The 16314-nt window shown below is 37.2% G+C and overlaps 1 protein-coding gene across 23 annotated transcripts in view; it reads left to right on the forward strand.

Annotated features, from left to right (window-relative positions):
- PHTF2 (putative homeodomain transcription factor 2) overlaps positions 1-16314 on the forward strand; it is a 158732-nt gene that overhangs the window by 84577 nt on the left and 57841 nt on the right. For 15 of the 23 annotated variants that reach the window (NM_001127358.2, NM_001366081.1, NM_001366084.1 and 12 more), the window contains one exon: positions 10259-10315. In NM_001127358.2, coding sequence (NP_001120830.1) covers positions 10259-10315 — 57 coding nt within the window. Of the gene's footprint in view, positions 1-10258; positions 10316-10632; positions 10645-16314 lie in introns of all 23 variants that reach the window. The other 8 variants (XM_011516422.4, XM_011516423.4, NM_001395272.1 and 5 more) reach the window with 1 other exon arrangement.

Genomic DNA, 16314 nt, shown 5'->3' on the forward strand with positions numbered 1-16314 from the left:
GAATAATTGTCAAATGTTCATCATGACCACATAATTTTGGGGATTATAGATATAATTTTCTTTCATTGGTGATTAGTGTTTTATTCTCACATTCACTATTTTGTTCAGTAACTTAACTTTGTTATATCACTTAGCCCTCTCGGTTTTCTCTTTTTTACCAAATTTATAGGTAGATAATTATGGCAATGCAAACCATATATTTTTAGCTTTTATTAGTATATTGTATCTTGGCAAATGTGATCCTGTCAACAAAATGATTTTATTAGCAGCTCCATTTTATCTATAAACTGTAAGCAGTTAACAAAAATATTACACTGTCAATTAATTAGGAAAAAGACTTTTATCTGCACACCCGTTTTGGCTTTCTTCTTTGTACCTTCTCCCCACACCTTTCTAACTACTCTTATTGCTTCTATCTGATGTTATAGCATTGAATCTTTTGTCTCTCTGTAGCCATCCAAATCATTAGTGAGCATAAATATTGTCATAATTAAATATTGTTCAGCTTTAGCAATTTAAAAGTGAAATAATTGAAGCCTAGAGAGATTAAGATTTGCCAAGAAAGAAAAGAACTAATATTTTTACAGTGCACCAACTATATACAAGACTATCTTTTTACATTTCAGTTCTGTGAAATGTGTTTTATTGTCCCCATTATACGGAGGTTGAGAGGTCAAGTACCTTGTCCATGTCCATGAGGCTCTAGTTATGGTGGAGGTAGGATAAAAATCCAGGTATCTTAAACAGTCCAGGGTCTTTTCCATTTGTATCAGCAAATATTAAAAGCTGGGGAAAACAAAGTGTTAAAATCCAGCACTCCAAATATGACAAAGTGTATTTTCTTTTCCTTGTTTTCTCTGAGAATTTGTCTTTTTAAAATTAAAAAAGAAAATTTTCAGTAGCTTTTGGGGCACAAGTGGTTTTTGGTTACATGATGAATTATATAGTGATGAAGTCTGAGATTTCATTGTACCTGTTACCTGAGTAGTGTACCTTGTACCCAGTATGTAGTTTTTTATCCCTCATCTCCCCTTCCCACCCTACCCCTTCTGAGTCTCCATAGTCCATTATATCACTCTCTATGCCTTTGTGTACTACCCATAGCTTAGCTCCCACTTATAAGTGAGAACTTATGGTATTTGATTTTCCATTCCTGAGTTGACAAAGTGTATTTTCTGACTGATAACATTTATTTTTTTAAAAAGACTCAAAAAATTATCTTTGGTTGTACAGCTATTAAATCACTATTAAAATATGGAATGTTGGGCTGGGCGCAGTGGCTTACCCCTGTAATTTCAGCACTCTGGTAGGCCGAGGCAGGTGGATCACTTGAGGTCAGGAGTTCGAGACCAGCCTGACCAATATGGTCAAACCCCGTCTTTACCAAAAATGTTAAAAAATTAGCCGGATGTGGTGGTGGGCACCTGTAGTCCCAGTTACTCGGGAGGCTGAGGCAGGAGAATCGCTTGAACCTGGGAGGCAGAGATTGCAGTGAGCCAAGATCGTGCCACTGCACTCCAGCCTGGGTGACAAAGCGAGACTTCGTCTCAAAATAAATAAATAAATAAATAAATAAAAATATGGGATGTTTGCATTAGGTATAAAAGCAACATAAACTTTGCCTATTAACATCTTATGATTGATGATGCATACACCAAAAAAAGTAATGTTTTTAGAATATCAATTTAGAGATGGAAAGAGTCACCAAGGGCTTGTGCATCTACTTTTTTTAAAATTTTTTTTTGTTTTAAAGAGGTTATCTCGAGATTTTGTTGTTGTTGTTACCTAGGCTGGAGTGCAATGGTGCAATCATAGCTTACCGTAGCCTCGAACTCCTGGGCTCAATAAATCCTTGCCCCTCAGCCTCCCAAGTAGCTAGGACTACAGACACATGCTGCTGTACCTGGCTGATTTTTAATTTTTTTAAATAGAGATGAGGGTCTCACTGTGTTGTCCAGGCCAGTCTTGAACTCCTGGTCTCAAGTGATCCTCCTGCCTTGGCCTTGCCTTGCAAGGTGCTCATATTATAGGCATGAGCCACCAAGCCCAGCCCTATCTCAAGACATTCTGTAATCTCTTGCCTTGAGGGTATTATTGTTATACTTTTTTTTTTGACATGGAGTCTTGCTCTGTCACCCAGGCTAGAGTGCGGTGGTGGGATCTTGGCTCACTGCAACCTCCGCCTCCCAGGTTCAAGTGATTCTCCTGCCTCAGCCTCCTGAGTAGCTGGAACTACAGGCGCCCACCACCACACCCAGCTATTTTTTGTATTCTTAGTAGAGATAGGGTTTCACCATGTTGGCCAGGCTAGTCTGGAGCTCCTGACCTCAGGTGATCTGCCTGCCTCGGCCTCCCAAAGTGCTAGGATTACAGATGTGAGCCACTGTGCCTAGCCTTATTGTTATACTTTTAACAGATACTCTTGCTGACAAAATTAGACAGCATTTATCCTGGCACATGATTGGCCTCTGATGTTTGTTGCATGGGGTTCATCTAGGAATAAATTTGGGCTCTGTGTTTTCTTTTTTGTATGGCATTTAGTGTTTGTGAGAATTAATAGCTTGCTTTTCAGAGTTTCTTAAATGAGATTCAGAGAAAAGAAACTAAACATGGTGGTAGGAAAAATTAGGGCTTTGACATACAGTATTATGATGTATCTGTTCATTAGTTAAGGAAACTAGGTGCTTTAAATATGTTTGCAAATCTGGGTCTCTTTTTGCCTTGCTTATTTTTATTTGAGAATTCTTAATCTTTTATCTAAGCACTCAGTCTAATTAAACTATTGATAACTACCTTTTTGAAGCAAGACACCTTGTCTTTGGCCTCTTGATACCTGAGCCACTGCTGTTCTGAATGTGATAACCTAGGGGTAATTAGATAGCCGAAGAGTAGCTTTTCAAATTGTTTTTCAAAGATACTTCTTTTCTAAAATTCCTAAGTGATACGTTTCTCATTTCACCATCTAATTATCTAGGTTTTAACATTTGTATTTTTGATACCATCATATTCATAAGAAAGTTGTTTCATAGGAGCCAGAGCTGACCTTGGCAGATACCTAGACAAAGGCAGTCTTTTTCTCTACCTACCAATCCTCCCGTTTCTTTACGCTTTTCTTTCCTTCCCAGTTTTCCCTTCCTCCATTTCCCCCTTTCCCTTTTCTTCCTGTTTCCCATTTTGTTTGTCTCAGTGTATAGAAACATATAAAATTAGAGTAATGGTAGGAGGAGGTACATGATTCTCTATAAAGTTCCTATTCAGTGATAGTAACTTTACTAGTTACTATGGAATATATTAGTTTCTAAGATAGCTAGTTCAAATTACTTTGGAATCCAATAGACCTGGGTTCGAATCCTGGTTTATAAAAGTAGTACATCTCCATTGTGGTGAGGGGCAGGGGAGGAAGTGATACAGTGGCTGGGCGCAGTGGCTCACACCCGTAATCCCAGCACTTTGGGAGGCTGAGGTGGGTGGATTGCTTGAGCCCAAGAGTTCAAGGCCACATAGGGAGCAACATAAGGAGCTGTCACCTCTACAAGACATAAAAATTTAGCTGAGCAAGGTGGGGGTGCACCTGTGGTCCCAGGTGCTCAGGAGGCTGAGGTGGGAGGATTGATTGAGCCTGGGAGATCAAGGTTGCAGTGAGCCAAGATCATGCTACTACACTCCAGTCTGGGTGACAGAGTGAGACCCTGTCTTTAAAAAAAAAAAAAAAAGTGATACAGTAACAATGAATATAAGGCAGAAAGGAAAAGTGCTGTTGTCTTTGGTACTTCTCAGAGGTAATCATTATTAATGATTTTCATGTATCCTTCTAAATATCTGGTGTATATATTTACATATATTTAATATAGCATATTAGCTATGTTAATTTCAGTTTTTACAGCATGTATAAAGTGTTCATTTTCCTGTTAGAACAGTCTTCAGTAGGTCAGAAAGCATCTAAAGAATATTCATTTAGTTGAATTTTCATCTGTTTGATATTACTAAATTCCAGTATCTCAATTTCTTTTTTTTTTTCCTTTTGACTCTTACCCTTCTTACTGCTTTCAGGTTGCTGTTCCATAATTATTGTTGTTGTTTTTTTTTAAATCAGTTTTGACCTCTGTAATGGCTCAAACTTTAGATGAGAAAACATACTAGAAGTGGAGATGACAGAAAATGATGTTTGTATCTTAAGACTTCAGTCTTCTCAGGGAAGTAGTAACTGGCTAGACATTCTTCCAGGAATGGTGATGGTCACAGTAATTAGGAATTAAAGCTTGTGGGAAGAAAATCTTTAATTGACCTTGTTGTCATTAAGAAGAAGGAGTTATTCTAAGGCATTGGTATAGGATTGCCAGACATGTTACCAAAGATACAGGATGAGTTTGTAGATGACAAAGTGCTTGGTCATCTGGAACCAGGAATGGAAAAGCTGACTGTAGGTCAGCTCTGGGAATGAGTGCACCAGAGGCTTAAGCTATTCAGGGCGTCTCTGGGAGTAATAACAAGAACCTTGATAAAGTTGCTTACCATAGCCAAGCACCAGAGAAAGGACTTCACATTCTCACAATATACAAAACTATTGGCTACAGAATATAAATCAGGATTTCAGAGTCTCCTCTTACATGATGGAACAATGTTTTTCCCTCCTTGAAACAGATCATTACTTATGAAGAATATGGTTGGATATCTATACCATTACTTGTACGTTAATTACCTTGGTATATCTCTCTCTGTGTATCTATCAACAAAACATTATTTGAGTATATATCCTTTCAAAATGTTAGGTACTTTTTTTTTTGAGACGGAGTTTCACTCTTGTAGCCCAGGCTGGAGTGCAATGGTGCATCTTGGCTTACCGCAACTTCCTCCTCCCGGGTTCAAGTGATTCTCCTGCCTCAGCCTCCCAAGTAGCTGGGATTACAGGCGTGCGCCACCACGCCCAGCTAATTTTTTGTATTTTTAGTAGAGACGGGGTTTCACCATGTTGGCCAGGCTGGTCTGAATGGTCTGACCTCAAGTGATCTACCCACCTCTGCATCCCAAAGTGCTGGGATTACGGGCATGAGCCGCTGCGCCCGGCCTAGAATGTTAGGTACTTTTAAAGAAACCTCTTTTCTGTGAACCTATGGATTATGTTGAATAGGCCCTTTTCTAAACACACAAACACTGGAGGCATTGGGGGAGGGAGGAGAAAAAGAACAGTTAGGAGGTATCAAAAATTTCGAAGTCGTCAAAATATTACATAGTATTTATTTCTCAATTGAAGACATACCATCTTATTAAAATCACTGTACCATTAGACAAATGTTACCACTGATCTTCTTTTAATCTTTTGTATGCCATTTTTAAAAAAGTAGTTATTTTCTTCCTGAGTTTTCTTTCACAGAGAACTATAATTGAACTTGGCCTTGCGATTTAATTTTATGTAGAAGAAATTTGTTAAAAACCACCTGTCAAACTTATGTGACTCAATCAAGTCTGCCAAGTCTCTCTGAGCAACAGACTGAGACCCTGTCTCAACAAATTAAAAAAAAAAATAAGAGGGATACAGTAACAATAATATAAAGCAGAAGGGGAAAGTGCATTATTCGTGTTTAGAGGTAAAATGGAAAATGTGTGTTAATGGAAATATCTGTTAGGGGTAAAATATAAATGTTGGAAATGGTTTGGGTATATTTGTGTGTTAGAGGTAAAATAGTTGGAAAACCTGTCCCGTTATTTTTTAACTTTGGTAGCACAGCTCTGCAAATTATTCTTTATCCATGACCCTAAGTCTTGAGAAGATGGTTATTCTCTTTCCTAGTCCTAAGTGTCACTTCTTTTCTTGCCCTATAATGATTGACAGTAGAATTATGTTTCATTCAGGGAAGAGCTTGACTCCAGCCACAGGGGGTCTGATCTACTATCCTGCCAGCTGGGAATAAAGTGAGACTAAAGGCTGGAAGAGATCTTTAGAATCCCTTCACTCTCACTTCTAGGATCTGGCTACCACTCTGATTTCATGATGCCACTGGTGTACTACACACATATCCCAAGAAACAAACAATTTCAGAGATAATTCAGTCTGAATTCATATGTAAGGGTAATTTGTTAAAGGCATACACGTTATTAAGCAAAACCCTGAACATCTCCTTCTGAGACACCTGCATTTAGGTTAACCAGCGTCCTCACAAAAAAACTACCTCTCCAAAAAAGTAGTCTGTTTGCTTAAGTAACTAAAATGTTCATTCTGGTAGTATTTTCTTTTTTTTTTTTTTTCCTTTTTTTTTTTTTTTGAGACGGAGTCTTGCTCTGTCACTAGGCTGGAGTGCAGTGGTGTGATCTCGGCTCACTGCAACCTCCACCTTCTAGGTTCAAGCAATTCCCCTGCCTCAGCCTCCTGAGTAGTGGGGACTACAGGTCTGCACGACTACGCCTGGCTAATTTTTTTTGTGTGTGTGTGTTTTAGTAGAGACAGGGTTTCACTGTGTTGGCCAGGATGGTCTCCATCTCCTGACTTCATGATCCGCCTGCCTCGGCCTCCCAAAGTGCTGGGATTACAGGCGTGAGCCACCATGCCTGGCCTATCTGGTAGTATTTCCAAAACAGAAGAAGTCTGCTGCAAAGGAGAACTGATTCCTGCACTTACAGACATTTAATTGCTGTAATTGAGAATGAAATTTATCTAGTTTAAAAAAATTAAGACGCGCCCCCCCCCACCACCATGAGACATTCTATTAACAGTAAAAGTTGCCCTTCCTCTCACCTATCAAATCTTTGAATAAATGTGTCTTTCCAGTAAAACAAATCATTTTATCCTGTGGCTTTTTTAATAGGAATGTCTATCCACCCACCTTTAGGATTGCATTCTGCTATTTACAGTGAAATATGTCAGCTTTCAAGAAGCATTTCCACTTTTACCTACTGCTTCACTGTGGAGTTTCTTAGGCTTTCTGTACCTTTCTAACCTCGGGCCTATTAAGTACCATGCTGGAGTTGCACTGAACCTAGTTATGCCAAGGATTGACATCCATTTCTGATTTGGTCTATCGAATAGGATTATTTTATTTTTCCTGATTTTAGGATTATAGGACATGTATCTACACATTCACTTTCTTGAGTCGCCTAGAAATAAAAATAGTTACTTTGTAGACAAGTTAGGCACCCTTTTGTGTATGAAAACAAAATACTGCCAAAATAGTTATTAAAACATATTGGTGCCTATTCTTTATTAGTTTTAATTATTATTTTACTAAAAAGTATGTGGTGCATTGAAATAGTTACACTTTTTTTTTTTTTTTTTTTTTTTTGAGATGGAGTCTTGCTCTGTCGCCCAGGCTGGAGTGCAGTGGCGCAATCTCGGCTCACCGCAAGCTCCGCCTCCCGGGTTCACGCCATTCTCCTGCCTCAGCCTCCCAAGTAACTGGGACTACAGATGCCCGCCACCACACCCAGCTAATTTTTTGTATTTTTAGTAGAGACGGGGTTTCACTGTGTTAGCTAGGATGGTCTCGATCTCCTGACCTTGTGATCTGCCTGCCTCGGCCTCCCAAAGTGCTGGGATTACAGGCGTGAGCCACCGCACCCGGCCTTTTTTTTTTTTTTTTTTTTTTGAGACAGCATCTCACTCTGTCACCCAGGCAGAGTACAGTGGCATGATCATGGCCCACTGCAACCTTGACCTCCTGGGCTCCAGTGATCCTCCCACCTCAGCCTCCTGAGTAGCTGGGACTACAAGGGCACACTACCATGCCCAGCTAATTTATTGTGTTTTTTGAAGAGACAGGGTTTTGCCATGTTGTTCAGGCTTGTCTCAAACTCCTGGGCTCAAGCAATTTGCCTGCCTTGGCCTCCCAAAGTGCTAGGATTACAGGCATGAGCCACCATACCCAGCCTAAAAAAATAAATTACTGCACCTGGCCTAAAAAATAAATTTTTATTTGCATTTAAGCCCAGTTATTCTGAATTATTCTATTAGAGCAGAATTATTCATGTGGAATCTATGTTCCCATACTTACCTTTTCTGATTTTAAGGAAGATGACTGATTGATTGAATTTATAATTTAAGAGGATGAGGGGCAACTAGTCACCGCAGGTCACCTCTACCATTAGGACTAACCAGTTGGTTGTTGTTTACCTAGAGTTTCTTAATCCTGCTTCATAGAGACTCATGGCAGTTTTAGTTACATATAAGTATGTTGTTTGGTCTAGGTAGCTTGGTCTAGGTGTTACAATATTTTAATTTTGGGGGTATAATATGGTTTTTTTTTGTTGTTGTTGTTTGTTTTTTGTTTGAGGCAGAATACTCTGCTGCCCTGGCTGGAGTGCAGTGGCATGATCATGGCTCACTGCAGCCTCAACCTCCCAGGCTCATGCAATCCTCCCACCTCAGTCCCCTGAGTAGCTAGGACTACAAGCATGTGCCACCACACCTAGCTAATTTTTTAATTTTTTGTAGAGACAGGTCTCACTACATTGCCAAGATTGGTACCAAACTCCTGGGCTCAAGCGATTCTCCCACCTCAACCTCCCAAAGTACTGAGATTGCAGGCAAGAGCCACTCTGCACTCAGCCATAATATGATTTTTAAAATAAAAGAGTCACAGGAAAGTGGTGAAAAAGAGAATAGGATTTACAGGACCAGAAGAATTAATACGAGCAAGATAACGTATAAGAGAGAATAGCCGGGTGCGTTGGCTCACGCCTGTAATCCCAGCACTATGGGAGGCTGAGGTGGGTGGATCACGAGGTCAGGAGATCGAGACCATCCTGGCTAATGCGGTGAAACACCGTCTGTACTAAAAATACAAAAAATTAGCCAGGCGTGTTAACCAGGCGTGGTGGCACGCGCCTGTAGCCCCAGCTGCTCAGGAGGCTGAGGCAGAAGAATCACTTGAACCCAGGAGGCGGAGGTTGCAGTGAGCCGAGATTGCACCACTGTACTCCAGCCTGGGCAACAGAGCGAGACTCTATCTCAAAAAAAAGAATAACAGACATTAAAGGTTCTTATCAAGTCACTTAAGTTATTTTATTCTACCTCCTTTGTGTCTACTTTTAACCCATTTTGGTATTCTCAGTTTCTCAGTTCTTGAAATTGAGATATAAAAAATAATGTGTAGATTAAAGGACTTTAGGGTAAATTATGTTGTGAGTCAGAAAATACTCTTTCCTCCTGTATTTTCTTATAATATCATTGCCTATCTCTGGTCATTTTCTGTCTCTAGTCTCTTAAGTGTAGTTATCTGAAATATTTTTAATTTCTTAGGCTTCTAATTTTAAATTAATGCAAATAATGAAAATTCCTAGTCACAGTTATATGGTGTTGACCCATTTCAGTGTCCTTTTGGATATGGGGAATTAAGTGGAAACTGGAGACAGCAGGAGCTAATAGCAAATAACTTGGGTGGGAACAATAAAGAATGATTTGTTCATCCTGCCCTGGTGAAGGTATAGTTCAGAGAACTTTCCAGCATCTAAGAATAATAAAAATAGAAGCTGTAAGAAATTCTGCTTCATAATTATTTTCCTGTGTCTTCAATCATTTCACAACTTTGTTTTCCAATTTAAACTTTAAGTGGTAATTGCAGTCTGCATGTTTATAAATTTTTAATTGTATAGCATATTAGTACTTGTCTTCTTTAAAAATAATGCCATAAAGAATTTGTCACTTGGAAGTTTTTCCCCAAATATAACAGAGCTGTAGCAATTGTGTTTATTTACAATTAAGGATTCCCTAGGGCAGTGGTTTTCAACATCAGAATCATCAAGAGGGATTTTAAAAAGTTTTTTAATTTTTATTTTAGGTTCAGGGATACATGTCCAGGTTTGTTATATAGGTAAACTCATGACTTGGGGGTTTGGTGTATAGGTTATTTCATCACCTGGGTACTAAGCATAGTACCTGATAGTTTTTTGTTTTTTTTCTGAACCTCTCCCTCCTTTGAACCTCCTCCCTCAAGTAGGCCCTAGTGTCTGTTGTTCTCCTCTCTGTTCAAGAGGGATTTTTAAAACATAGGTTTTGGGGCCTCACTCTTGTATTTCTGATTCTGTAACTCTGGAGTGGGGCCTGAGAGTTTGCATTTCTAACAAATTCCAAGGTGACGCTAGTACTACTGGTCCTGAAATCATACTTTGAGAACCACTGCAATAATATGATACTGATCTGAGAAGTCTGAGATAGGGCTAAATCTAATCTGTGCTGAATGAATACTGAGTTGCTTGTATTTCAAGCAGAGTTATACCTATTTGATGGGTACCAGCAATGACCATTTAATGTAGTGTCTTCTTTTCATAGATTGGAGCATATGATCAACAAATATGGGAAAAATCTGTTGAACAGAGAGAAATCAAGGTAAGGAGTTTATTTCATTTTGTTTATTTTGAAACATAGTTCTATGAATTATTAATTACATTTTCTGTAGTGTTTTTTAATATACTTTTAAGATATAAATTACTATTCTATTGAAGCTTTTAAAGAAAGAAGTAAACTTTATTTACCATAGTCACGTTTACTCCTGATGTTGGTTTTTTCTTTTTATCATCTTTCTGTTCTTTTAAAATTGAATTTCTAATGACTATTTTTTTGTCAGCTTTTTTCCCCTTTCACTTGTCACCTTATACTTCTAGTTTGCTTTTTCTCCCTTTTGATGCTGTCATTGCTCTGTACAGTTTATTAAACTGGTAAGTGTTTCAGGATTTTTCCCGCCTGAGTGATCCTGTGCAAATGCTGGTCTGCTTAATTGAGATCTGCTTTTTGGTGCTACTAACAGATTGACTTGGACTCGAAAAGAGTCACTGAAAAGTTGGTCATTTTAAAAAAGAAGTTAGGACAGTAAAGCACTAATTAAAATGTTTTTGTAGTAGGCATTTTCTTCCTGAACATGTAATCATATCTCTTATGCTGATAAAATATTCTCATAGATTACCTTGCTAGCATGAAAACTGTTTTTCAACTGAATTTATTGTTTCCCAGCACTCTTTATTGGTAATAAGATTTATATTTTTTCATTTGCATAGATACTAATCAGTGTGTTTTTGCACGAGCTAAATTTAATCTGGGCACAGACAGTATTACCTTAGTTACTTGACATTTTCTATTTTGTATAGAAAAGTTTTCATTAGATTGAAAACCAGTGTCTATAGTTACTAAAGATCAGTCCAAAAATTTGTTAATGTTTAGACTACTTAGTCACTTGTAATAAAGAGCAAGATTCTTTCCCATTTGGCAATTATAATCTCTAAACTTTTGAGGAAGGATTAATACATTTAACAAAGTTGTGGTATGCGTTAAATATAGGATTAAGTCCTGGGACAGAAAGATAAAATAGATTATAGTTTTGTAGGGGAGATGCATAATTACACATGAGATAAATTCCTTTAAGAGAGGCATGTCTAAAACTCTATAGAAGAGCGAGAGGGGAGACAAGCCTGGGGAGGTTGGGAAAGATTTCATAGAGGAAGTGGTTCATTAACTCAAGGAAGACATTTCAGACAGATGAAGAGCAGATGGAAATATATGTAAAGGATGGAAGAAACATGATTGAGGCAGGACTCCCCAAGGAGTTTGATTTGATAATAGGTTGGATAGAGGAAGGAGACTAGTGTCATTAGGAGTAAAACTAGAAAGGAAAATGGAAGTCAGATTATGAAGGGGCTTGAATGCCTTGCCAAAGAATTTAGACATAATCTGGAAAACAACAGGGGAGATATTGGAAGATTTTAAGCAGAAGATTATATTTTGACAAATGTACACAGGCAGCACTAAGGATGATAGGAAATACTGGAAGAAGAGCACATTTAGAATTCTGTTATAGAAATATCTATTTGGTACTTGGGAGGGACATTTGAGAGTTCTCAGTTTATAAAGTGTGAATATGTATAGGTATGTGTTTGTATGTGATACATACATACATATATAAAACATTATATAGATATAGCTATAGGAATGAGTAGATTTCTGTTGAATGATGAAATAAAAGGACTGAGAACAGAGCATTGGGAAATAACTAACATTTAATGGGTAGGTAAATAAAGAGATGCAAGTAAAGAAGGAAAGAGAAGTAGGAGATCCATGAGAAAATAGTATGGAGAGAGTATGAAGAAGAGTTGGGATAGTCAAGCAAATAAAGAGCAGCAGAGAGGTCTAGTAAGATGCCATAATACCTTTTATCCTCTTTGACAGTTAGAAAGCCTTTAACTCATTAGACAGGAGATATAAGTACCTTGAGAGGTTATGTTATCAGGTTGACACATTTGGAATTTAAAAGCCTCAGAAAAAATATATATAAATAATTTTTTTAGTTTTTGGAAGCTATTCACAAATTACTATTTGTATTCACAAATTACTACATTACTTATGTAACCTCCTCTTTTTTAAAAGAACTCTTTTAAATCCTAAATGTATGTTAGGGTGAGGAAGGATTATATTAGTTACTACTTGGTGCTACTAACAGGATGATCTTAGGGAAAGTTAGGACCTACAACTTCTTTCTGAAGTGTGTCTCCCTTTAAAGATGATACCTTGTAATAGTAATTGAAGAATTAAAAACATAAAAACTTGCTCTTTTGGTAGGTCTGAAGGTAGCAAGTTATCTCGATCGTTCACAGACAGTTATAGATCAGATGAAGTCCTTGTTTCACTCTTTCCTTCTTTCCCACTATTGCACTTGACTAGTCTTTAAAAATAAAGATAAAAATGAGACAAAATTAAAGAAAAGTTGTTCTCATTATTTTTTTTTCCTTTTGGGGTGATAAAAAAATTTCTAAAACTAGATAGTGGTAATGATTGCACAATATTGTGGATGTACTTAGAACCACTGAATTATAGATTTTTATTGTTTCCTTTTTGTTTGTACAAAGTCATGGGGTACATGTGCAATTTTGTTGCATGCATAGCTTGCGTAGCAGTCAAGTCAGAGCTTTTGGGGTATCCATCACATGAATAATGTACACACTACCCATTAATCAATTTATCTGGCTCACACCTGAAATCCCAACACTTTAGGAGGCCCAGGTGGGAGGATTGCTTTAGTCCAGGAGTTAAGACCAGCTTGGGCAACAAAGTGAGACACTATCTCTAAAAAAAAAATTATTTTTCTTAATTAGCTGGGACATACCTGCAGTCCCACCTACTTGAGAGGCTGAACCAGGAGGATCACTTGAGCCCAGGAGTTCGAGGCTGTAGTGAGCCATGATCACACCACTGCACTCCAGCCTGGGCAACAGAGTGAGACTTTGTCTCTAAAAAATACATACATACATAAATAATAAACTTATCATCCTCCCTACTCTTGTTATTTTTAATTAAAAGGATCAATTTGTTAACAAGCCTAAAAGCACATTTCATTTTTACTAAACATTCTAGTGGAGGCAAATTATGGTGTAAAATAATTCCGTATTTATTCTAAGGAAGTTAGAGAGGTACGTAACTGTGGTGTATTAATGTTAATATTTGATTAAGAAAAAAACACTCTACCTGTTGTTTAGAGAACAGTGTACCAAATGTATTGAGTTTGTCCAATGTAATTGATTCTTTCATTAGTTGTCAAAGCAGTGAGCAGCTACTAGAGAAATCAAAGACATGAAAATATATTTTTTGGAAATGTTTATTTTTCAATTAAAGACCCAGAGTTGATATTGCTAAAGCGTAAAACCTTTTGTAAGTTGCGAATTATTTTTCCATAACCATTTTAGAAATTATAACTAAAAACTTTGATTTTTTCTGATTACCGTGACCAAAATTTAAAAGTAAATTTGGAAGTTTTTCCTGTTTTACTGTCTCCTAGACTTTTAAAGCTTCTTAAAAGACTAGACTTAAAAAGCTTATAAAGTCATTACAGAGAAAAAGGGGGTGGGGGAACTAAACAAGATTTCTAGAAAATGAAACTGTTTATGTACTTTGATGGAGTCTAGATATTAACAATACACAGAAGTCTAGATAACTGAACAGAAGCACTTTCTAAACTTAAACAGCCCATTTCATTTTTTTTTTTTTTTTTTGGCCCAACATTATCTGTGTACTTAGAGAGTTTTTTTTAAATAAAAAACTTTATACTACTGTGTTTGAGTCATTTCACTATAGGAACATACTATAAGAGTTTAAATTATATTTAATAAATAAAATATTTTTATTATTGGATATTAATTGCATTTGTGGTGCTTGTTTCTACTTTCTAGTTTGTGCATAAATTAGTAGTTTTAAAAATCTCATTTTTTAAAGAAAATGTTACTTTTCATTTTTTATTTGTTCATTTAAACTGTTTAACAGTTCTTGATAGTACTGAAAGCTATGCTACTTTGTGTGAATGTGGTTTACCCCAAGCCAATTGAAAATTTTCCAGTGTAAAATAGCTACTTAATTAAAATCAGATGTTATGAATGTTATATCTTGATGCTTTCTTTTATTTTTGTGAATAAAATAATTATAGATTTGATCGCAACTCACTGCATCCTCTGCCTCCCAGGTTCAAGCGATTCTCCTGCCTCAGCCTCCCAAGTAGCTGGTATTACAGGCGCCCGCTACCACGCCTGACTAATTTTTGTATTTTTAATAGAGATGGAGTTTCACCATGTTGGCTAGGCTGGTCTTGAACTCCTGACCTCAGGTGATCCTGCCCACCTCAGCCTCTCAAAGTGCTGAGATTACAGGCGTGAACCACCTTACCTGGCCTTCTGTTTTTTTTTTTTTTCTTTTTAAACCTTTAAATTATCTTGATAGGCTACCTTAGAGGGAAAATTTTATTGAAACTGGCTATTAGGGTGTGGCTCTACAATATAGCTCAAAATAAATATATTTTAATAGAATATAAAATTGGAAATGAACCCCAAATAAACAAGGTCGATTAGAAGAAGCATGTTGAAAAACAGTAGTTGCACATATCAAGACAACTTACTGTTTCTCCTGTAGGGACTTTTGATTCTTAAAACAATCTTGATAAAAATTTTAGGTATACAGCAATAAATTAGGATTCAGATTAGTCAGAAGACATTGGCAATAAGGTTACTTTCAAGTTGTTAGGGAAGCAATTTATAAAAAACAAGTAAATTAAAATGTGTTACTGTTTTCAAATATTTTTACAGTAATAAAGGTAAAATCTTACTGTAATAAACAATACTAAATCCAAATAGTGCTTTATTAATGAAGTTTTGTTTAAATATATGTATTATTACAGTTGCTTCTCCAATTTGCAAAATCTTGGGAATGATTTCTAATCCATCAGCCGCTTTATAGTGACATTAAAATCAGAAATAATGTACAGATACAGCCCATACTCATTATTTGGGGTAGCTATGTTCTATAAAGTCACCCATGAACACTGAATTAGTGCATACTGAACCATTGCTGCCTGGGGAAGTACCTTGTTTTATGTGTGTTTCTGTTTAAAGACACCTTATTTAATATATATTTTTGATTCATTAACAATTCATGGCCAACAGCACTGTAAATCATATCTGAACAGAGGTTATCTTTATTTATTTATTTATTTATTTTATTTTATATTGTTTGGGACAGAGTCTTACTTTGTCGCCAGGCTGGAGTGCAATGGTGTGACCTTGGTTTATGGCAACCTCCAACCCCTGGGTTCAAACAGTTCTCCTTGCTTCAGCCTCCCCAAGTTGCTGGGATTACAGGCGAGTGCCACCATGCCCAGCTAATTTTTTGTATTTTTAGTAGAGACGGGGTTTCACCATGTTGGCCAGGCTGTTCTCAAACTCCTGGCCTCAAGTGATCCGCCCACCTTGGCCCCCGCAAAGTGCTGGGATTAAAGGCGTGAGCCACTGTGCCTGGGTGAACAGAGGTTATCTAACACATTTTCTCTGTAAGACACATCACAGCATTCTTGCACTTAGGAACACGAGACACTGTTTTAAGCACTATACTTGAGGGCCATCTTGAACAACAGGATTGCCAACAAAAAGCACAAAAATGTGAAAAACATAACAAATAAAGGACACTGTTTACAGTAATCAGAGCTGAAACAGGAAGGTTAAAGCATCACCTTGTTCGACCTCAGCTGAGAACATGCACGTTGGGTGACTCAATTTTTTTTTTTTCACTCCATGCGTGTCTGCAAATTAGGGCAAAAGCACCGTGAACGTTGATTTGGGGGTACAAAGAAATTTTACCAAGTAGGTGTGTTTGCAATTATGGAATCTGAGAATATGAGGATCGACTATATATAAAATTATCATTGCTATTTCTTTAACTTTTACCCTGTCTCCTTCATTTTTGTTTTTGCATCTCTGGGTGGTTTGCAACTTCAGCCAGAACTATTTGAAGGGATTCAAAGATTAATTGCATATTGGTTTCAGGGCGCATTTTTGGTTTAGACACCTCAGTTAATTCTGACC

The sequence above is a fragment of the Homo sapiens genome, chromosome 7 (assembly GCF_000001405.40).
Source record: "Homo sapiens chromosome 7, GRCh38.p14 Primary Assembly".
Taxonomy (NCBI): Eukaryota; Metazoa; Chordata; class Mammalia; order Primates; family Hominidae; genus Homo; species Homo sapiens.